The 23,677-nt window shown below is 49.3% G+C and overlaps 1 long non-coding RNA gene across 1 annotated transcript, besides 1 other annotated feature; it reads left to right on the top strand.

The window, feature by feature from the left end:
• Nucleotides 20,237-20,426: a silencer, noted in NCBI's record as "fragment chr8:136686601-136686790 (GRCh37/hg19 assembly coordinates)". NCBI's record gives its function as "represses an EF-1alpha promoter that drives an FKBP-Casp9 reporter gene in an ReSE screen in HepG2 liver carcinoma cells {active_cell/tissue: HepG2}" and the evidence as "EXISTENCE:reporter gene assay evidence [ECO:0000049][PMID:32094911]".
• On the top strand, nucleotides 21,336-23,468 carry LOC124902046 (uncharacterized). The gene is made up of 2 exons (XR_007061159.1): nucleotides 21,336-21,570; nucleotides 22,705-23,468. It is a non-coding gene; the product is annotated as an uncharacterized LOC124902046 (long non-coding RNA).
• The last annotated feature ends 209 nt before the right edge of the window (nucleotides 23,469-23,677 follow it).

Here is a 23,677-nt window from a genome sequence, read left to right as displayed (position 1 = left end):
CTGAATCATGGGGGTGGTTTTCCCCATACTGTCATCATGGTAGTGAAAAAGTGTCACAAGATCTGATAGTTTTATAAGGGGAAACCCCTTTTTCTTGGCTCTCATTCTCTCATCTGCTGCCATGTAAGATGCGCCTTCTGCCTTCCGCCATGATTGTGAGGCCTCCCCAGCCATGTGGAACTGTGAGTCCATCAAACCTCTTTTTCTTTAAATTACCCAGTCTCTGGTATGTCTTTATCAGCAGCATAAGAACAGACTAATACATATTCACATATTTTAATCAAGTTATTCCATATTAGAAAGCTTTTCTAGTAATGTAATTAATGATGAATATGTGGACATTGACATACAAAATTTTAACATATCAATGTTTACAATAGGAGGAATATGAAAACAAATTGGATAGGCAAATTATGGTACTCAAGGAAATAAGATATGGCCAATACAAATGCTTTATTATGTTAGAGTAAATAATCAAGATATAAAATTACAAGAACAGTTTGATTATAACTCAACAAAGGTAACTATGAGGAGAATGATAGCAAACAGGAGAAAATATTTCCAAGTGTTCATAGTGATCTCTGATTAGGGGATCTATAACTGATTTTCATTTTTCTTCTTCTCTGTATTTTTCTGACCTCCTTTAACAGAGACATATTATTTTCATAATGAAAAATAAATACAGAATTGTAACTTTGTCATGTTTCATAGTACACTTACCTGTTATGAAATGAGGTTTTATGAAAAAATACCAAAAGAGAACTTCTAAGGCTCTTTCCCTACCTCCAGAAGTGCTAGAACTGCAACTCTGACCAATTTTAACCTGCTCAGAGCAGAGTTAAGTCCTGGGATTTTCATCCATTGAGCTTTTCCACCATGCTCCCAAGAGCCTCTGGATTTTCAGGTCTCTATGGAGCTTCAGGCATCCCTGGCACCGCTTGTGATCCAGGTTCTCCACTTCCCCCAGCACTTACATTGTGGGCTGCAGGTACTTCTCCTCCATCCATTCCACATGACTCTCACTGTCTCATTATGCCTGTAATGGATGCTGTGATGCACCAAGATCCCCCTTCAGAATGAAAGGACTTACTCCCCCAGCTGCTGCAAGTGCTGACTTACCTCATCCAAGGTCATGCCCCCTCTTGGTGAGCCCACATTCAATAACTGGTCAAGAATAGATACAGTCCCCTTCCTCCAACTCAGGACTACTCTGAAGGGCCATCCCAGCCTCAGAGCTCCTGGTGGGGTTGGCTGAAGGCTTACTGGGGCTGCACCACTCAACTCCTCCCACTGTCTAACCCTTCTTCCTATCCTTACTCCCATAGAAGTGACCTCCAGAGCACTCCCTAATAAATTCCTGCATGTGCATGCCCATCTCAGAGTCTGCTTCCCAAAGAAGCTGCCCTGAAATACCTGCAGGAATCTCCTACATTTGTCCCTCTGAAATGCTGATGCCAAGGACCTCTTTCTATTTGAGATGCCGGCCTCCCGCTGGCAGTTGACACACTCATCCTGGCGTTCTGACACTTGGCATCACACAAACTTCAGCCTCAGCTAAATGGGCGAGGCCCCTACTCATAGCCCACACGTCTGTGATTCCCCTTTCTTGGGTCATTTTGCATTTTTTCAATGACATAATTAACAAGCACTTACTGTTTACTAGACATCCTGGTAGTCCTAGTATAAAAAACAAACATGGCTCCTGTCCCTGTGGAGCTCTCAGATCAGTGCAGGAAACAGACATTCATCAGGTAGCAATGCAAATCAATGTATATTAATTTGAATCATATGAAAATGCCAGTGCTAGGTCATCTTAACTTACAAAGCCAACATTTTCTTTCTTTCCTTTTTTTTTTTTTCTTTTTGAGACGGAGTCTCAGCTCACTGCAAGCTCCGCCTTCTGGGTTCACGCCATTCTCCTGCCTCAGCCTCCCAAGTAGGTGGGATTACAGGTGCCCGCCACCATGCCTGGCTAATTTTTTTGTATTTTTAGTAGAGACGGGGTTTCACCGTGTTAGCCAGGATGGTCTCCATCTCCTGACCTCGTGATCTGCCCGCCTCGGCCTCCCAAAGTGCTGGGATTACAGGTGTGAGCCACCGCGCCCGGCCCAAAGCCAGCATTTTCATATGGTTCAACTTAAAAGTTCTAAATAGTAATAAAACCCCAAGTGTGACGTGCCCAGCATGACTAATAAAACAATACTGAGAATTATCTCCATTCATTCCCAACATATTTGTCCAATGCCGAAAACAAAAATTCAATCTTATTTTGTTATTTTTCCCTCTATTTGTGCACTTATCATTTTTTAAAATAAAAGCACACGTACACAGAGAAACCTGATTGAACATTGACTTTCTCTCCCCTTAGTTCCTTACAACCTGTATGTTGCAATTAACATGGAGATTGAAATTCAAAAGTGAGTTTGGAAATTCAAGCCAGAGCTAAGCAAAAGAAAGAATAAAAAAGTCAATTCCCAAATGTGCCTTGGCCACTTCTGCTGATGTGCTTTTTTCCTACATTTCCTGACAACCAGCATTTGATGAGTTTCTCTCACCTGCCCCCACCCCACACCTCACAGTCAGTCGATTTAATGATGATGTATTGAAACCATTGGTGACATAAGAAAGTGGGACTCCATGGCAGCCACTCCAGTTCTAAAGTAAATTTCCAGCAGAGATGAGCAACAGTGAGGGTCTCAGAGGGCAGCCCTCAGCATGCCAGGGTGGGGAGCCACGTGGGCATTCTTAGAGGAAAAGTCAAGATTTGTGCATTTAAAAAAAAAAAAAAACCCAGACTGGAATGAAATAGGAGAGAATAATGTGAGAATAAATGGGGCAGCATAATGATGGCAACAAATTCTCCATGGAATTCCTCCAAGGACAGTTTTCATCTTCTAGTTAGGTGTTGTGCACCCTTCTCTGAGCTGTTCCCAAGTGTTTGCACAAAATTCTAAGACTCTCCAAGACATAGAGAGCTCAGAATAGAAGCAGTTGAGTGCATCTGGGGCACCACATGGGCTGATGATCTGTCGTAGACATTAAGCTCCTACAGGGCAGGACTGGGTCTTAGGGAAGACTTTGTAGTATAAACAGAAGATAAGAAGACACAGGCCATGCCTCCACTGCCAGTCTTTTCAGAGATTCAAATGGGCTTTTCTTTCTTTTTTTTTTTTTTTTAAGTAATCACTTCCTTTATACTTGGGCAAATAAATTGTTCAGCATGCCCCCGATGAGATTGATTTATTTTTTAAAGATAAACACATTTTGATTTATTAAAATAACTGAATATCCAGGAGAGAAAATAATGGTGTGGTAGCTAAACAGGTCCACTCAAATGAATCTCAAATGCGCACTGTTGAGTGAAAGCAGCAAGTTACAGAAGAATATATCTCATATTATCACACTTACGTAAAACTTCTAAAAAGGCAAAATTAAGCAATATATTGTTTGGAGACATATAAATAAGTTACTGGAAGTATAAACTAATGCAAAAAGATTCTCTCTCACACACACACACACAAATACACACACATGATAATAGTTACTCTTGGGCAGGAAAGATGAGCATATTTACCTGAATGGAGCAGGGAGGGGGTTGTTAGCCAGGATTAATCTTTCGTGGAGCTGGAAGGGAGCAGATAAATGACACCACTTAAAAATACTAAAAACCGGCCAGGCACGGTGGCTCACGCCTGTAATCCCAGCACTTTGGGAGGCCAAGGCAGGCGGATCACGAGGTCAGGAGATCGAGACCATTCTGGCTAACACGGTGACACCCCGTCTCTACTAAAAATACAAAAAATTAGCCGGGCGTGGTGGTGGGCACCTGTAGTCTCAGTGAGAGGTGACAGCGTGCTGGCAGTCCTCGCAGCCCTCTCTCCTCTGCCTGGGCTCCCACTTTGGCAGCACTTGAGGAACCCTTCGACCCGCCGCTGCACTGTGGGAGCCCCTTTCTGAGCTGGCCACGGCCGGAGCCGGCTCCCTCAGCTTGCGGGGAGTTGTGGAGGGAGAGGCGCGGGCGGGAACCGGGGCTGCCAGCGGTGCGCGCGGTGCCTGCGGGCCAGCGCGAGTTCTGGGTGGGCGTGGGCTCCGCGGGCCCGCCGGCCCCGGCAGTGAGGGGCTTAGCACCTGGGCCAGCAGCTGCTGTGCTCGACTTCTCGCCGGGCCTTAGCTGCCTCCTCCCCGGGCAGGACTTGGGACCTGCAGCCCGCCATGTCTGAGCCTCCCCCTCGCGGCGGGCTCCCGTGCGGCCCGAGACTCCCTGACAAGCGCCGCTCCCTGCTCCACTAGCGCCCAGTACCACCTACCTCCCAAGGGCTGAGGAGTGAGGGCACACGGCGCGGGACTGGCAGGCAGCTCCACCTGCAGCCCCAGTGTGGAATCCACTGGGTGAAGCCAGCTGGGCCTCCTGAGTCTGGTGGGGACTTAGAGAACCTTTATGTCTAGTTAAGGGATTGTAAATACACCAATCAGCACTCTATATCTAGCTCAAGCTTGGTAAACACACCAATCAGCACCCTGTGTCTAGCTCAGGGTTTGTGAATGCACCAATCGACACTCTGTATCTAGCTACTCTGGTGGTGACTTGGAGAACCTTTGTGTCCACACTCTGTATCTAGCTAATCTAGAGGGGAGGTGGAGAACTTTTGTGTCTAGCTCAGGGATTGTAAATGCACCAATCAGTACCCTGTCAAAACGGACCAGTCAGCTCTCAGTAAAACAGACCAACCAGCTCTCTGTAAAACAGACCAACCAGCTCTCTGTAAAATGGACCAATCAGCAGGATGTGGGTGGGGCCAGAGAATAAAAGCAGGCTGCCAGAGCCAGCAGTGGCAACATGCTCGGGTCCCCTTCCACGGTGTGGAGGCTTTGTTCTTTCGCTTTTTGCAATAAATCTTGCTGCTGCTTACTGTTTGGGTCCACACTGCCTTTATGAGCTGTAACACTCACCACAGAGGTCTGCAGCTTCACTCCTGAAGCCAGCGAGACCATGAACCCACCGGGAGGAACTAACAACTCCAGCCCTGCAGCCTTAACAGCTGTAACACCCACCGCGAAGGTCTGCAGCTTCACTCCTGAGCCAGCGAGACCACAAACCCACCAGAAGGAAGAAACTCCAAACACATCCAAACATCAGAAGGTACAAACTCCGGACACGCCGCCTTTAAGAACTGTAACACTTACCACACGGGTCCGCGGCTTCATTCTTGGAGTCAGTGAGAACAAGAACCCACCAATTCCGGACACACCAGCTACGCGGGAGGCTGAGGCAGGAGAATGGAGTGAACCTGGGAGGCAGAGCTTGCAGTGAGTCGAGATCGCGCCACTGCACTCCAGCCGGGGAGACAGCGAGACTCCGTCTCAAGAAAAAAGAAAAATACTAAAAACCCTCCAAGTTATTTTCTATTCTAAGATTTTAAAATTCTCAAAAGTTTAAGAAGTTAGATGTTAGGAGTTACTGGCGCTATAGTCTTTCTTGGAATTAACTGGGACCCTTCCTCTTTCCTTCCACACTTCTAAGATGGCCCCTAAGATTCCAGCTTCCTGGTGTACATCCAGGTCCTCCTGATGCCGAATAAAGGCTAGGCCATTTCCAATTCTCCACGCGGTGCAATTGTATAATGCAATTGTTATAGACTCCCATTGTTTGCTTAGAAATGCTATTTGCAGATGTGTACCAACCTGCTGGCAATCATATTTTTAACTTTTTAAAAGGATAACAAGGTCTTTGTAAGGCTCCTACTTAAGCACTGACAGATGTTAGAATTAATCAGGTGCTCCTGTTTGGGCGGGTTATCATTAGTCATACACTCAATCATCTTTACTGAGCACTTACCACACACTAGACCCTGCTTGGGGCATGGGAAATTTTCAGTGACCCACACAAGCAAGGTCCTGGTCTTTCAGGAGCACACAGTCCAATGGAAGAGAGAGACAGGTGATTCCACAAAGAACGCAGGACTTTAAATGCCAGAGAAGTGCAAGCAGTGGGCTCCGGGGTTCAAAACAGCCCAGGCGATGTGTGTGAAGGTTCACAGAGGAGACCAAGTGGGAAGAGAGCTGGGGAAGGCTGGGAGGAATGGCCTTTCCACCAGGGGAAACAGCGCAGGCAAAGGCAAGGAGGTGCAAAGATCTCAGTGTTCAAGGAACCAAAAGTATGTACGTTGTTACACCTGAAACTTCTTTTGTTTTTTGTTTTTGTTTTTGTTTTTGTTTTGAGATGAAGTCTTGCTCTGTCACCCAGGCTGGAGTGCAATGGCGCAATCTCGGCTCACTGCAACCTCCGCCTCCCGGGTTCAAGTGATTCTCCTGCCTCAGCCTCCCGAGTAGCTGGGATTACAGGCACGCACCACCACGCCTAGCTAATTTTTGTATTTTTAGTAGAGATGGGGTTTCACCATGTTGGCCAGGTCTTAATTTCTTGACCTCATGATCCACCTGCCTCAGCCTCCCAAAGTGCTGGGATTACAGGCATGAGCCACTGTGCCCGGTCTACACCTGAAACTTTTAAGCTATGTGTAGAGGAATGTCAGAAAACACCATTGAGACTAGGCCAAAAAGACACAATCTCACATATTAGATACTTATTTGGCTAAGTTAACTGTTCATCTTCTAGGACAAATATCAATAAACTTTATCTGTAAAAGACCAGATAGTATTTTAAGCTTTGGAACATGGTCTCTGTCCCAACCGCTCAATCTGTAGCACAAAAGCAGCCAGGGCAAGTATGAAGGAAAATGGGCATGGCTGTGTGACCAATGCAACTTCATTTACAAAATCAGTCTGAGGGCTGGATTTAGGGGGCAGGCCATTGTTTGTCAACATCTGTTCTAGAAGTATTAAGCTGTTAGGGGGCTTTGCCAATCTTATATGAAGGCACAATCTGTAGCAATAAATGAAGATCATTTACTGAACACTCTGTAAGCAGCTTCCATGGTTTGATGATGATTTTTCAATTCTGATGATTCTAATTACTCAATTGCAATTCTACTCTGCCCTGCTTGCCTTTTGGTGTTACAGGGATGACCAAGTGCCACTGGACAGACAGACCCGTGGAATGTTGTAGCCAGAAGGGAATCGTGAATCATATAATTCCATGCATTTTACAGATGAGGAAATGGAAATCCAGAGAGGTGAAGAGACAGCCCCAAGGTCACAGAACTAGGCTGTGGCACACACAATTGCGTTAAAAGGCCTGCGTCTGTGGAATGCCCACTTCGTGCTCTAGACACACTGTTTCCAACCCTCACCCCTATGCTGCCTCTCCTGCAGATTGTTCTTAGGGAGTGGACCTCAAAGGAACCTTTGGCCTCAAAGGAGCCCTGCATTCCAAGAGTCCATTGGTCAGTGGAAATAGGAATTCCAAATGAGGGTTTGTGTGAAGAGCATACAGCAGAGTGGCCACTGGAGAGTAGCTGGTATGAAGCCCAGTTGGAGTGGTCAGCACCCAATTCTGACTTCCAAAAGGGCACTTAACCTCTCGGTGCCTAATTGTCCTAATATGCTAGTTGAGAATAATGGTATCTATCATGCATGGTTGCTGTGATAGTCAAGGAGGGTCATGCATACAGGCCTCTCTTGCTGTGTCTAAGACCCTAGAACCACTCACTCAGGGGCAGGGGCAGGGGCACAGCCTTTCTGGGCCCTCCAGCATGCAGGATGCTTAGCAGCATCGTCCACACTGGGTCGGTAAACAGCTGGAGCTTACTGAAATGGTGCAGTGTGAATTGGGCCTTCAAGAGCTCAAAACTCATCTCAGCCAACTGACTTAGGAATGCCCTCCTTCACCCATGGAACTCTTCGTAGCACACTCATTGAATGCCAGCCAGGCCCAGGGTCAGGATGGGGACTGTGAATTTCCCACAACTTAATAGTGCTCTGGTGTGATCCCACCCACAGAGGATGCGTGTGTGATGTGGGCATCAATGCCAGCCTGGGGGTATCAACTGGAACTGGAACTCTGGGCTAGAAAGGGCATCATCCATCTCTTGGGCAGGCTCTGAGCTGCCTGCAACGTGCTGAGGATTCTGCAAACATCATCTTCTGGAGCCCTCATCATCTCCTGAGGTCAACCTCAGGTATCCAATTCACTGGATTAAGCTGTGACTAGTGAGCTGGTTGACTGAGTGAGGAAGATCTGCTCTCAATGTGGGCAGGCACCATCCAATTCACTGGGAGCCCTAATGGAACAAAAAGGCAGAGGAAGGGTGGATTCTTTCTCTCTGTTTTCTAGAACTGGGACGCCCTTCTTCTCCTGTCCTTGGATGTCAAGATTCCAGGTTCTCTGGCTGTTAGTCTCCAGGACTCACTCCATCACCCCCATTCTCAGGCCTTTGGCCTCAGACTGAGAGTTATGATATAGGCTTCCCTGGTTCTGAGGCTTTCAGACTTGCACTGAGCCACACTACTGGCTTTCCTGGATCTCCAGCTTGCAGACAGTCATTGGACTTCTCAGCCTTCATTATGGTGTGACCAATTCCCCTGATAAATACCTCTTTTATATCTATTTATATCATGCTGGTCCTGTCTCTCTGGAGAACCTTGACAAATACAGTCAGATGAAAGAGTGTGAGGAACTAGCCCAAGGCTACAATAAACACTGGAGGCTGCAGCCTCAGGCAAGGACTCAGCTCAGGGGCTTTAAAAACAGGGAAGCACCAGACACAGTTTTTCCCCCGAGAGGAGGTGAAAGTCTAATGTGAGAGGCAGATACAGAAGGGCCTCGTGTCATTCTAATGGGGAAAACAGGAATCAAGGCAGGGCCACTCCATTGGCAGGGCCAAGAGGTCTTCCTGGAGCTGGTGGCACCTGAGCTAATAAGCCCTGGGAGTCCAGAGGAGGCTAGGGAGTGTGTCTGTTAGAATGGGAGGCCTGGGCTTGAATCCATTCTGAACCACTTACCAGCTGAGTAACCTTTGACGCAACATCTCCTTTTGCTTCAATTGCTTCAACTGTTCAATGGGCTAATAATAATATCTGCCTCACAGAACTGTTGCAAGGATTAAATGAGCTAAGAGTTTAAAGTGTTCATTCATGCTCACTGTTCCTGGGAAAGGGGCGGAGTTGGCTGAGTGACATAGGCACAGGACCCACAGCCCATGAGCAGGTGGCATACCTGAGTACAGGACTAAGGGAGGAAGTCCACACCCACGTGTGGGGCACATCCGCTGCTGAGCCATGAAACCTGAGCCTTTTCTTGAAAAAGAACCATTGCTCACAGGCCATGCCATGTGCCTTGTCCATGCCTGACCATGATCTCACTGGCACAGGTGGCTGGATGGCTGCTAGTCTAGGAGAAATCCAGGATTCTTCCACAGTCACTCGTATTCAGAATCCTTGCTCCTGACACTCTGAGATGCCACCATAGTTCCAGATGCCACATGGGGAGGGAGCTCTGCAGTCAGTATCTCATTGAACCGACCAGAACCTTCAGACCCTGAAGACGCCCCTCAGCTCAGTGCCGCAGGCTGGGTCATCCTTCGTCATTACAGACTGGCTGTCCTGCTCTCCGAGGCCCTGTCCTGCAAGCTTCTGAAAGCAGCCGGACTCCCGACTCCTGAATCGATTCTACAGCCATGCCTGTTCTTTCTAATCAGAACAATGCCGCATGACACCAAGTCCGCTCTTCTTAAAATGCAAGGGGCTTTCTGAAAGGTGTGCAGGTGATGATAAACAGGGCTTGAGCCCAGCCTAATCAAGCCCATGCATCTTCACAACCTGGGGACAGAGCAGTGGCTGTGGAGAGAACCGGGCAGGAGAAAGAGCCTCGTTCGAGGAGAGGCAAGTCCATCCATTCTGTTCTGCCCTGAGCACACAGCTGGGCCTTTGGTCTGGGGTCCTTGGAGCAGGCCCCCGGTGCACAACAAGCCTGGGGATTTGCAGGACTTGAGTGTGAACCTGCCTCGCCCCCCACTTGCCCGCTCTGGGTTCTTGACTTCCTCACAAGCACAAAGAGGATGATAATGATTACACTTAACCCATAAACTAATCAGGGTCAAGTGAAATAATTCAAGGAAAGCTCTTAGCCTAGTGCCTGGCTTATAGTCAGGGCTGAACAAGTTTTATCTAACAAAGAAAAAACAAATGTAGTGCCTACATAGGCGGGGAGGCCTGCGGCGAACACAGCCATCCTGCCGTCTGCACTTCCTCTCTGCTGGGGACCCGATGATGCATTAAATGTCCTCACGTGAGCAGCCTTCGCAGTTTGTTCTCACATCAATCTTGCAAATAAACGTAATTAGCCACCCTGTAACTCACGAAAAGACAAGCTCAAAAATGTGAGGTGACCTGCTCGAGGTTACACAGCAAGGTCCCTCCCACACCACGGTGGAGATAAACCTAACGGAACAACTCCAGAGAAATTCATGGCAGATTGAGAGTAGAAAATCGACAGTGATAAAAATTGGTAATGGTAGCTGTTGTAGACCATGTTACTGCTGACAAAACAATTATTGTTACAAGAATCCCACCATGTTATTTTATGGAATCTTCCTTAAAATCCTGGGAACTCAGGTGTGCCACAAATGCTTCTTGGGTAAATTCCACATGAGGTTCCATTCCCATTCACATTATGCATGCGCGGGGCCCCGAGTCAGGCAGATCCAAGTGGCTTGTCCAGGGCCACCCAGTGCTGAGTGTCGGAGGCAGGACTCAAAGGGAAGTCTGTGTGGGTTCTGTGCCCAAGTTTCTGCAAAACACCCAGCTGAGCCGCTGTAGAGGGGCACAGGGTGTTTGGCCTTGCTGAATTTCTGTTTTGAGAGGACTGGAAGCCAACCTGTGGGGCTGAGCCCCGGGAGTACCTTTCAGCCCTGGGAGCCTCTGACCTCATTTACTTTTGAGCGGATCCCCATCCTTGGCCTCCCCTGCTAGCATTTTGAGAGTGGCAGCTCCCTGTGGGAATGCGCAGCACTTGTCTATAGAAAAACCTGCTGGGGATTTCCCTTCACTGGGCAATTCATTCCATTTCTTTCCTCTCTTTATCCCCTAAGCACTTTTAAACATTTCTGGGAGATAGTTCCATTGCAAAAGTTGGAAAGGGAGGTGCGTTTGAATCTCAGTGTACTGTGAAGCCTGGTTTTGAGCCCTTTCCTTTTGTAAACAATCATCACATCAGAGCTGGAAGAGCCGTGGGCCATTGTGCAGCCCAGCCTTAGTGTACAGGTAGGGAAACTTGGAGGCTTGGAGGCAAGGAGACTTCAGCAATATCACACTTTTAGTTAGTGATAGATACACCAGGCTCTATCAATCCCCTTCTCTTTCTCCCTCTCTCTTTCTCTCACATGCGCACACACACACAAACACACAGACTCACACCCTTAGCAGGCACAAAGGATAGCCCACTTGATAAGTACGAGAGAGACTGGCAGCTGCCTACCCAGCATCCACTCTCTCTATCCAGTGGTTCTCCAAATATTGACCCGGGACCGGCAGCAGCAGCAGGGCATGGAAGCTTATTAGAAATGCAAATTCTCAGGCCCCGCTCAGACCAAATCAATCTGAAACCCTGGGGACGGTTCCCTGGAATCTGCATTATAACAAGCCTCAGGGTGATTCTGATGCAGCTGAAGTTTGAGAACACTGGATTAAGAAAATGTGGCACATATATACCGTGGAATACTATGCAGCCATAAAAAAGGATGAGTTCATGTCCTTTGTAGGGACATGGATGAAGCTGGAAACCATCATTCTCAGCAAACTATCACAAGGACAAAAAACCAAACACCACATATTCTAACTCATAGGTGGGAATTGAACAATGAGAACACTTGGACACAGGAAGGGGAACATCACACACAGGCCCCGGCCTGTCGTGGGGTGGGGGGAGGGGGGAGGGATAGCATTAGGCGATATACCTAAGGTAAATGATGAGTTAATGGGTGCAGCACACCAACATGGCATATGTATACATATGTAACAAGCCTGCACGTTGTGCACATGTACCCTATAACTTAAAGTATAATAAAAAAAAAGAAAAAGAAAAGAAAACCACTGCTGAAGGGGATGCTTTTTGTGTTCTCCACCCCTCCCTGCAGCCCACCTAGGGTTTCAGCTGTGGCTGGGCTGAGTGTCTCCTGGCAGCATCCCACTTCCTATATCAGCCACATCTTTCAGCCTGTCTGACCCCAGGGTGTGTCCAGAGCCGCAGCTGCTCACCCAGGGATGTTCAGAGTATGGGGGAATTCACATCCCTGGAGCCACCTTCACCCACTGGAGGGCACGCGTCTGTGGCCCAGCCCCAGCCTCAGCCCAGCCCCCTGCCCTGACAGTTGCAAAACATGGCCACAGCTCCAAGCATCATCAGCTCAGTGCATAGTCTGTGCAGTGCCTTCTCCATCCATGGTGCACAAGCCCTCTGGCCTTACTTCTTTTCCCAGGATCACCCTTGAGTCTGCCAGTGGCTAAGTCTGTCTTGGGATCTGCTTTGGGGGAACCCAGACTAAGACAGATGGTACCAAAAGTGGCCCCGGGAGGCAGCACTCCGGATGAGATTCTAGCATTGGGTCCCTCATTGATCAGCAGTAACAAGCGCACGATAGGTACTGCCATGACAAGGGGATAGGAGATGAGGTAGATGGAGGAAAGGCACAGATGCTCCAGCCACTGACTGCGGCACAAAAAAACCACACCAAAACTTAGTGGCTCAACACAGTGGTGAGTAAATTATAGCCCTTGGGCCAAATGTGGCCCTCCACCTGTTTTTGTCAATGAAGTTTTATTGGAACACAGCCATGCCCATGTGTTAAGGCTGCTTTCATGCTACAGTGGCAAGTTGAGTAGCTGTGACAAACTGTATATCCTGCAAAGCCTAACATATTTACTACCTTGTCCTTCACAGAATAAGTTTGCTGACCTCTGACTTAAAACAACATTTATTTTGCTCTTTTACGTGCAGTTTGGGGATGGCTCTTTGGGGACAGCTTGTTTGTGCACCACACAGAACCAGATAGGTGCACAGGCCAAGGCAGTACAATCATGCATGCAGGACCATGGGATCTACTGTTCCTCCCGACACCACATCACCCAGAGGCAGCAGGCTCAGCTGAGATGGCAGCTCAGCCAACAGCAGGCCAGGGCTCTGTCCTGGGGGCTGCAGTGTGTGCAGTGAGCCCGTGGTCAGTGTGCAGGACTCAGAGCCGGTAGTTGGAGTATACACTTCTAGGAACAGGAGGTGGAAGGAGGATTGGTCCCCTCACTGTCACTGCTGGTGACTTCGTCAAAGAAAATGGCTTCCCGTCCCTGCAGCTCTAGTGTGTGCTGGGTTCAATGTCCTGGTTCCCAGAACAAGATGGTCCCACCAGGACACAGGTAAAGTTTACCCTTAATCTAACCCTGTGCCTGCTGCCTGGCCACTTTGGGGCCTCAAGCTGGTGGGCCAGCAGACAGAGAGAAGAGTTCCTACAGTAGTGGGGACACTCAACCCTGATGACACAAGAAGGTAGGGTTGGCCCCATGTGATGCAGAAGGGATAAGCATGTCTGGAATTCAGGGGACTCACTGGGATGGCCCCTGATGCTTCACACCCAGAGATAGCAGGGAATGTGTGACTGCCACCTGAGGTCAAGGCCGCCAGAACATAGCCTCTCAGGGAGGGAGGATTGGGGCCCTCTACCAGCTTGCTTGGCTGGATTAGAGTAACATGACAGTGCAGGGCAACCTCCAGCTAGTGGGGATGGTGTCAGTGCACAAGGTCCAGCCACCGCCTCTGGGGAGGCAATTTTGGAAGGCATCCTTTTTGGGGGACGCAGGAGAGACTGAGCCCTAGTTGCTCCCAGGCAATAACACACACGCTATTGCTTTTTCTCCTTTCTCAGTCTCATTCTTTCTGCTCCCTCATGTATATTCTACCTGCAGCCAAACCTGCGTAAACCCCGGCTCTGCATCACAAGGCTGTGCAGTGTTGGGTAAGTTCCTGAAACTCTCTGGGCTTGCATTTCCTCATCTGCAGGGTGGGGCTGTGAGTCTACCTTCCTCAGACTCGTTCCAAAGATTAAACTAAATGATTAGGTATCAGCCACTCGGCCCAGTGCCAGGCTTAGCTGGTGCTCTCTGGAGCTTGTTGTTATAACCGTGGGACCAGGGCCTCCAGGGTCAGCACTAGGAAAGGCACTATGAAAGACTAACTTGTTTAAACCCATTTTTCAAGTTTCTGCAAGGCTAATATACAATATAAAGCTTTAGCTCCTCGAGGAACTCATTCAAAATGTAAAATTGGTGAGTGCTTTCTGAATACTAGGGTTTTAAATTTACCAATATTACATTCATCTTCTAGACAGTGGGGCTCCAGTCATCATGGTGGGCCTTGAGTTGTCTGGAAGTGGAGGATGCTGTGAGCCTCGCCTAGGTTCTCCCGGCAATAAAAGAAGCAGGGAGATGATGAAGACGCCGGAGGCGGCTCTTCAGCGGGAAGAAGCGTTCTCCATGTGCACAGAGACTGTTCTGAAATGGCTGGGGAGCTGCCTGGGGATGAGGCAGCAGACTTCCTCTAGTGGACTGCCAGGAATGATGCTCCAAGCTTTCACAAGAGGGACTGTGGGCAAAGATGTGGGCACAGTAAGAGCAGCAGCAGAAGCTGCTGACGTCCCCAGAGACCAGCAGTGTTGGAAGCCATTGCCAGCCGGGCCTGAGATCAGGGGAGAGGGTGGTTTCCAGAACCTGGTGAGAAGCACAGTCATGAATGAGGGTGCCAGACAGGAGCAGTGGCCACAGGCAGAAGAGCACTGTCGTGCTCAGAACCACTGCCCCAAAAGAATGTGGGGACCAACCCGCTGAGCAGACACCCCAGAGTCTGACCCAGATTCCCCACTGATGGAACCCAACCAGAAGCCATAGAGGTCAGCTTCCTGGGGGAGGGAGCAGGGTAGAGCAGAGGGGAGAAGGATCCAGGGTAGGAGGAGAACAGCTGCTGTGTGAGTTCAGTGGAAGCTGACCATCAGGGATGGGCTGGACAATCTAAGAGGGAGCAAGTTCCCTGTCATCGGAGATTTCTCAGCAAAGACTGGACAAACACCAAAGAGTTAGCATCATAGGATTCCCTACTCTGGTTAGAAGGATGCTCAACCTGACGGCATACAGAATCATTCAGGGAACTGTTGAAAAATATGGATGCCTGGGCCCTGCGCTCTACCCCAGACACACTGAATCGAATCTTGCAGGGTGAGCCAAAGCATGTGCATATGAACAGCCTGCACCTTCGGCCCTGCAGGAACCATGGGTCAGAGGCTTGGGTGGGATCCAGGTCCTGACCTGGGCAGGGAGAGAGAAGTCCCAGATCTGCCAGGAAGCACTATCTTTGAGTTTTGGGAAGTTCTTTAGCCTCAGAAGCTCTAGTTCCTTACCTTCTAAATGAGAGTTTCCAGCTCACCCCAGGGTATCAGGGGCCTTAAGACACGGTGGAAGGAACAAGCCCAGTGCCTGTCGCTGGAAGCAGCTCCTGCCCGCCCTTCCCCATGCCCAGTGCCTGTCGATGGAAGCAGCTCCTGCCCACCCATCCCCAAGCCCAGCTGCCTGGAATCAAACCCTGCTCCGACACTTACTCACTTTGTGACCCAGGACACCCATTCATCCTCTCTATGCCTCGTTCTCTCATCTGTAATATGCCGGCAATGATGGAATCTAACTGACAACAGTGAAGATTCCATAAGCTCATGCTCTCTGGCATGGAGTGTGAGCAGTGAGGATTCCATGAGCTCACGTTGTCTGGGTTGGGGTTGTGGGCTATTATCACGCTGTTGTTTCTGTGCTGCCCCTGACCAGCCCGGGAACTGAAAGAATTCAGGCATAGGAAAAGAATCGAGGGCCTGAAGATCCTTAGCCTGGAACATGTGTTTTGGGGCCATAGTGCGATTGTCACTTTCAATATCTGGAAGGGCTGTCAGGAGGAGAGGTTGTATCCACTCTCTATGATGTAAAGCACAGAGCAAGAGCCAGTGGGTACAAGCAACAGGAAAGCAAGCTTTAGATCAATAAGAGGAAGTACTAATTCTTCTTACTTATTTATTTATTTCTGAGATGGGGGACTCGTTATGTTGCCCAGGCTGGTCTCAAACTCCTGGCCTCAAGCGACCCTCCTTCTCAGCCTCCCAAAGTGCTGGGATTACAGGTGTGAGCCACTGCACCCGGCCAAGTATGAATTTTCTTCTATCCTCCCTTCCCTGATTTTTTTCTGCCCTCTATCTCCGCTCTGCCTACTCCTATCTGCACGTGTATAGTATGCATGTGCTGTGTGCTAAGCACTGTGCCCATGGCTGAAGATGTAAATATTAATGATACCCACTCCCTGCAGTCAAGTTGCCCACAGTCCAGTGGAGGAAGACAGAACTAAGTGAGCCCCTCCTCTGGTTCCTGATCTCCCACGTCAACCTCTGTTTTAACGCTTTTCACACTGTCTTGTCAGAGCTGTCTAAGAAGGAATGAGCTCCCTCGGAGAGACAGTGAGCTGCCCATCATCAGAAGTATGCAAGCAAAATCAGAACTATTTGTCAGGAGGAGAGGAGGGAGAGAGGTGGTATTCTTACAGTGAAGATGGGACAGGATGGTCACTTCTTTTTATTTCTTATTTTTTTAATTTTGAGATGAGTCTCACTCTGTCGCCCAGGCTGGAGTGCAATGGCACTGTCTCAGCTCACTGCAACCTCCACCTTCTGGGTTCAAGCAGTTCTCCTGCCTCAGCCTCCCAAGTAGCTGGGATTACAGGCACCTGCCACCACACCGGGCTAATTTTTGTATTTTTAGTAGAGATGGGGTTTCACCACGTTGGCCAGGGTTGTCTCGAACTCCCGACCTCAAGTGATCCGCCCACCTCGGCTTCCCAAAGTGCTGGGATTATAGGAATGAGCCACTGCACCTGGCCCAGCATGGTCACTCCAAGGGGAAGGGCTATGGTCAAAAATGGGCAATATCCCTGCTCCCACACATGTCTTCATAGTAATCACATCCACTGACTGGCAAGCAGACCTGGCCTCCACAGACCCAGCGAGCTCCTTTCACCTACCCCTCACTGCAAGACCCTTTGCCCCATCTTCATGATGTCCTAATGGCTCCCATATTTTTCCTTCAGCTGTGTGGCTGGCATCGCTTTAAGGGGAGAAGGTCGTTCCTACAGCACTTGGAGGTCGTCACTCAGGGTGGCGATGATCCTCACCATCTCCCCGTCCCTTCCTCCTCCTCTCCCCACCCAGATGCACAGGGGGCATCCATTTCACCCTCCTTGTCACACGGAGCTGTACCTTTGGGAAGAGGCTATTCTGGCAGCTCTCCAGTGCCAGCACACCCAGGGATGCTGGGAGGAAGGGCCTGGCAGAGGCTAAGGGTTTTGGCCTGGCAGAGGCTGGAGCTTCCCCTCCCTTCCCTGCTGCTTCTGAGAGCTGCTTTGGGGATGCTCTTGAAGCCATTCCTAATTATTTTAACAAGCAAATACATTCATATACTTTGATATGCAAACTATTACCAGTCACATGCGCCCCTAGCTGATCGTGACAACAGCTGAGAACTGCTGGACTGAGCATTTAATGTCTGCTGAAGAGTGGACAAAGCTATGATCCTCACCATTATTCATGAAGCTAAAGAGGAGGCTGCGGGTGTGGACACCATGAGGCAGAGTGAGGGAGAGAAGAGGTGAGGGAGAACGAGTGTCATTTCCCCTCGACCTGGTGAGCTGAACAGCCCATGTGACTATGTTTCCCTTCCTGCTTTACCTCCAGGCACCTCGGAGCTAAATTAATAGCTCAGAGGCAGAAACGACTTCAGCACAAGTAGTCTATACATATATATTTTTTCTAGTTTCTTTTATATGATCTTTATTTTGTGTAGGTTTTTTTTTTTGCTTCTTTTATATGTGTTTCAATATTGTAAGACTTCCCAAATCCTTTCCAAGAGGTAGACAGAATGTAAGTGATAAATGAATAAACATTTAAATAAGTAAGGCAGACACCAGCTTCTTTTTTAAAGCAATTTTTCATTCCTTTGTGGGTGTCTGTCATTCATGGCAAATGCACTGCTCACTGTGTGGCCCCAACCATTCGCCCCTTCCAGGCCTCAGCTCACCCAGTGTGCATGAAGCCCCTGCTGTGTGTGAGTGCGCCCAGCCCTGAGGACGCACAGGTCCCCAGAGACAAGGCAGCAGCCCAGTGAGACAGGAAGGAGGGGCTCTCCCTGGGGAGGCGGCCACACCCCCTCAATGATGAACTCTCCTGAAGTGTGCATGTGTGGGAGGAAGTCATTCTTCACTGGTTCTCCTGCTGAGTCTTTTCTGGTGAAAAGATTAGAGATGGCTAAGGCTCCAGGATTCCCAAGTCCCTTCTCCATAAACCTCTGTCACCAGCCTATTGACATGCCTAGGGTCAAGGGAAACTGACGAAGACAGCCGTGACCACCCATGAGGGCTTGGACCACCACCCGAGGGCTGGATTAGGTAGGACCCAAAATACACCATTCAGGAGCAGACACAAAGGGACATACCAGTCTTCATCCTCTTCCTAACTGGTTTCCAAGAGGGTGGGGTGGGGAGGAGGCCACCTTCTCTCAAGCTGGAGGAAGCCATGGAGATAGGTGCTGCCCAGAGGGCAGGCAGGAGACGTAAATGAGTAGGAGCCTTGGCTGACACTGAGTCTCCAAGTCCTTTCCCTTCTCACAGTAGGAAGAGATACCAGATACCATCCCACCCCTAGTGCTGTGCTCAGCTTGGCCTGGCCTTGACCCAGACTCTGGGTGAGGGGAGGGAGCCCTGAGCTCCCCTGGAGCCTTATCCTTTAATGACAGTTTGGCAACAGTGAATTCCTGAATCCAAAGCTGATCCTTAAGGGATTCCCTAACTCTAAGCAGAGTACTCCATGATAGAATCTTCAAGAAAGCTGGTAGGCCTGTGTCTGAGGTCACCTTGGAGAAAGGGGACCTTGTGGTCATCACCAACCCTGAGAGTAGTAGGACCTCAGAACAGGAAGGGGTTTGCAAGGTTGGCTGGTTTCGTGGTTTTCCAACTCTGTTCCTTATAAACTGGGGGTTTGCCAGGGCTCAGCCCAGGAGGTGTCCTGGGGAAGATCCTGGTCCTAGCTGGAGCAGCTCCAATTTCACCAGTTCTTCATACTGGTAAGATTTTGTTAGGAGAAAGGGTTAGAAAACTGCTGGCCATGTACAACCATCAGTAAAAGCAGGACTCCCTTCCCAGGCCAGAGGGAGCAGCTTATCTGCTTGAACTTCTGTGTGCTCAGGGAACTGATATAAAACCCCACCTTGGCCAGGTGCAGTGGCACACAGCTGTAATCCCAGCAATTTGGGAAACCGAGGCAGGCAAAACACCTGAGGTCAGTAGTTCGAGAACAGCCTGGCCAACATGGTGAAACCCTGTCTCTACTAAAAATACAAAAAATTAACTGGTCATGGTGGTGGGCGCCTGGATTCCCAGCTACTCGGGAGGCTGAGGCATGGGAATGGCTTGAACCTGGGTGGCAGAGGTTGGCAGTGAGCTGAGATCGCACCACTGCACTCCAGCCTGGGCGACAGAGTGAGACTCTGTCTCAATTAAAAACAAACAAACAAAAAATCTACCTTGCTCCATCCAAGATAACAGAAGCAATTGAGAACTCTGAAGTCAGTTGAGTGATCAAAATGGCACCTTCTGTTATTTATAGCAGAAACTGCTTGTGGTCATCTGACATTCCTTCTCTCTTTCTCCATCAAAAGACGACACTGTCCAGCCTCCCTTGCAGTTAGAAGTGGTTGCCAAGTATTGGCCAAGAAGATGTAAACTAAAATGTAGTGTCAGACTTCCAAGAAGATTGTACAAGAGGAGCTAACTTAGCTGGGATGGGTACTGTTTCTGTCTTTCCTTCTGCGGTATGGAATGTGGAGGCAATGGCTGGAACTCCAGCAGCCATCTTGGCCTGTGAGGTGACTCTCAAGATGAAAGCCTGCATTTCAGGTAATGGAGAGAAAGGCTGGGATCTGATGGCCCTGTGGAGTCCCCATATCAGCCCTGCATTATCTGACTTATTTATGGACATCATTTGTATGTGAAAGAAACAAACTATTGTTTAATCACAATTATTTGAAATTTTCTGTCACGTGCAACTAAGTCTGCTGCTCATTATTAAGCTTGGTTAAAGGATCATGTGACCTAGCTACGGGGCTAGAAGGATTTGCCAACACTTTTCCCTCCCCATAACCCAACTTTAGAACTTGAGAGAGCCCCCTCCCCATCACCCCTTGCATGGGCAAGTTTAGTTTTATGAGGATGACACACCCTCCAAAATAACTGTTTTCCTCTGGTCCCAACCAGAGATGAGAAAAAAGCGAGGACTCCAGCACATGGAATCTTCTAACAGAAGAGCTCTGCCCAGCTGACAAAGGCCAGGGGAGCTCTCTGCCCCTGGGAATTTGCAGTGGGAAGAGAACTGTTCCACTGTGAGAAGACTCTCTGCCTCCTGGGACAGCTCTGACTGCTGGAAGCTGCTCATGATACTGACGTTATACTGAGCTGGAAAATCTCCGTTCTGGGGGATGATGCCAGGGAGTGTGAGTTCTACCAGCATTTACACAGAACAAGTCTCTTTGAAAGGTCTGAGGATGCTTCAAAACAAAGGGAGAGCGCAGATTGCAGGGTTGCCCAGTGAAATACAGCACATCCAGTTAAATCTGAGTTTTAAACGATGAATTATTTCTTCTTGTAAAACATGTCCCAAATATGGCAAAGGACATACTTATACATAAAGATTTATTTGTTGCTTATCTGAAATTCAAATTGAACTGGGCATCTTATATTTTTATTTGCTTAATCCGGCAACCTTAGCCGAGAGGCACCAAATTTCCAAACTCTCAGATGGGCTGCACTGATTTTTGAGAAAGGGGTGTGATTTGAACATCCGTTTGCAATGTTCTCTTCTCTCCCTGGCATCCTTTGGTCCATTTCTAACCTCGCCTTTTTCATAAATCCATGGCCTCCACCGAGCCTTTCCTGTTAACTTCAGCCCGCAGCAACCCAGAGGGCATCTGTGCCCCATTTCTGCCTCTGGTGTACAAGTGATCCTCACCTCAGCCTCAGACCCAGGGCTGGAGAACAAGACCTCTGGAGCCCTTCAAAGTCTTCATTCTCTGGCTACAGCAATTTGTTTTTGGACTAGCACAGTGACCCCAGTCTGTCCAATCAGAGTGCATCATAGAGGCTTGCTGGGGCACGTGACTGAAGTCTGTCCAATCAGAATGCATCCCAGAGTCCTGGCTGGGGCATGTGACTGAAGGCTGTTCAATCAGAGTGCATCACAGAGTCTTGGCTGGGGCGTGTGACTCAAGTCTGTCCAATCAGAATGCACCACAGAGTCTTGGCTGGGTAAGGGTGACCAGATCTCACCTGGAAGAAGGCTTGGCTGTCTTGAGACCGGAAGAGAGCAGTTAGTCCGGGAATGGCACCAGCCCCAAGGGACCAGATTTAAGAGACAAGCTAGCTTTATCCTCTGGACTTTTTGGCTTACTTGAATCAATAATTCCCTTTGGCTGAGAGCCAGCGTGTTCTGGGTTGTTCTGAGGCTTGGAAACAAAAGGCTTCTAACGGATACAAATCTCCAAAACCGGCATTGAAAAGTGAGAGTCCAGCAAGCCTGTCCCGTCTCAACAAACACAAAGTGCTGGGCACACTGCTGATCCCCTGAGACTTCGGCTCTCCTTCCCCTTCTGGGGTCTGCAGGGCGCTTCCACTTAGCCCTCACCACAGCCCTCATTGCAGCTAAACAGATAAGGGAATGATCAAGATAACAGCAGCCAGCATGGCCCCGGCTGGAGAATCAGATTCAGGGCGGAGATCTCTCCCCTGTTCTCTCATTTGATCCTCACACCAACTCTGACTGAGCTGCTATTTTGCAGCCTGCCCTGCCGAGAGGACACAGAGATGGCATAACCTGCCCAAGGCAATGTGGGTAGCCCTGAGGTGAAGCCAGGATTGGAGTCCCATTCGGGAGCCTGCGCTCTTCATCACAAGCTGCCTTTGTTTTGGGTGCCAGGGCTGGCCAGGGCATGGCAGCGGTCGTCAGCTGGGAGAGCAGAAAGAGCTGCTCGCAGAGTCCTAGAGATAATTTAGATCCTGGCCCCAGCCCACACTTGCTTAGGAAGGGCCAGCAGGCCCCTCTGCTGTCCTCAGCGTGCTCATCTCCCATTTAGGGCCTGACCACCCACCTTCCTTTGTTGGCAGCATTCAAAGCATGGGGTGGAGGCTGAGAGGCAGGCTGGGGCCAGGGCTGAGGGTGCTCAGAAGGAGCGGGGGAAGGAGTGCCTAAGAGTGAGTGGGGCCAGCTGGTGCAGGTTGGCCTATCTTGGAAAAGCACCTCTGGTCATCCTGCAGAGACTGGAGGGAGAGAGGAGAGATACTTCTATGGCCACAGGAAACCAGGGCTCCTATGGATGGAGCTTCCCAGGCATGAGGTGGTTTAGAGTCTGAGAGTAGCCCAGGCTTTTTGGACCAACCACAGCTCGACAAGGTGGCCTCCATATTGCTGGGAATATGCTTTGGGCTTCATCTGCTCCCTCGGGTTGGGGGCTGCAGAAACCAGATGAGCCAGGAGGGCTGATGAATGGGGTCAGGGGAGAGCTCTGGCTTCCCCGGCTTGTGCCAGTCCCTGCATCTCTATTCTTCCTGCACCTCCCTTAGACAATTCCCCACACCGCCTGGGGCAGTGGGAAAGGAGCGAGCTGAGAATTCGACAAATGTGTTCTCTCTCCAAGGACTGCTACGAGAGCTGCCTCCAGCTGCGGTGATCCCCTCCACATATCAGCTGGCTCCTTCTAAAATGTGGATCTCATGACGTTGCGTCTCCAACTCAAACCCCCAAGCGCCCTTCACGGTCCAGAAAGCCAAGTTGTAGCTCCTCAGCATGGCAGCAAAGTGCTGCAGGACATGGAGGCCTTGCTACCTCCCAGCCTCAGCTCCACCCTTCCCCCAAAGCGTGGCCTGCTTGCATGCCCTGCATACGTGCTCCATTTCTTCCCAGGGCATGGGGCATACTGCTCTCATTGCCTGGACTGTCTTTCATTCTTCCTCTAACCTCTGACTCTCCTCTGCAAGAGGAAGCATGCATTGCCTCTTCCAGGAAGGTTCCTGGGTGACACCTTCCTGCCCTTTGCCTTTGACCTTCTCTCCAGCCCCTGCCTCCTCAGGCTGCTAGGGTGTTCCTGTGTGTTCTTCCACACACCCCAAAGGATGTGTCTTCTGGACACTTGAACCTTGCAGCTATCCTCTGTCCTTTTTGCCTTGGCTGCTGGGATGCTCAAGGGACCATTTTAGGCCTTATGGTATGCATGATGCCCTCCAATCCCACCTTCCTCTGCCTGCGTCTCATTTCCTCAACCCCAGTTGCTTTTTCCCACACGTCCTCATCTCTTCCTTTCATCCTTATGTATAGCATGCATGCATTGCTGGAAACCATCCCCAAATCCTTTTATGAGGGGTGAGACAACGCATGAAAGTAAATAAAAATGATAAAAATCCACCAACTTCTATGAATTCAATTATGTAACTAACAGGAGCAATATATTTTTCCTCAGAGGCAATGAGATGGTATGTTTTCTCTATGCAGAATGCAAAATGTTGCTGGCATTTAAGGGAAATGAAAAATAAATTGCCCTGGCTTCTTCCTCTTACCCACCTCCTGCTGAGTCTTCTCTTAAGCAACCTCAGAAATCTGTCAGAAAACCCAGG

Source organism: Homo sapiens, chromosome 8 (assembly GCF_000001405.40).
Source record: "Homo sapiens chromosome 8, GRCh38.p14 Primary Assembly".
Taxonomy (NCBI): Eukaryota; Metazoa; Chordata; class Mammalia; order Primates; family Hominidae; genus Homo; species Homo sapiens.
This window is presented reverse-complemented; position numbering and strand designations above follow the sequence as displayed.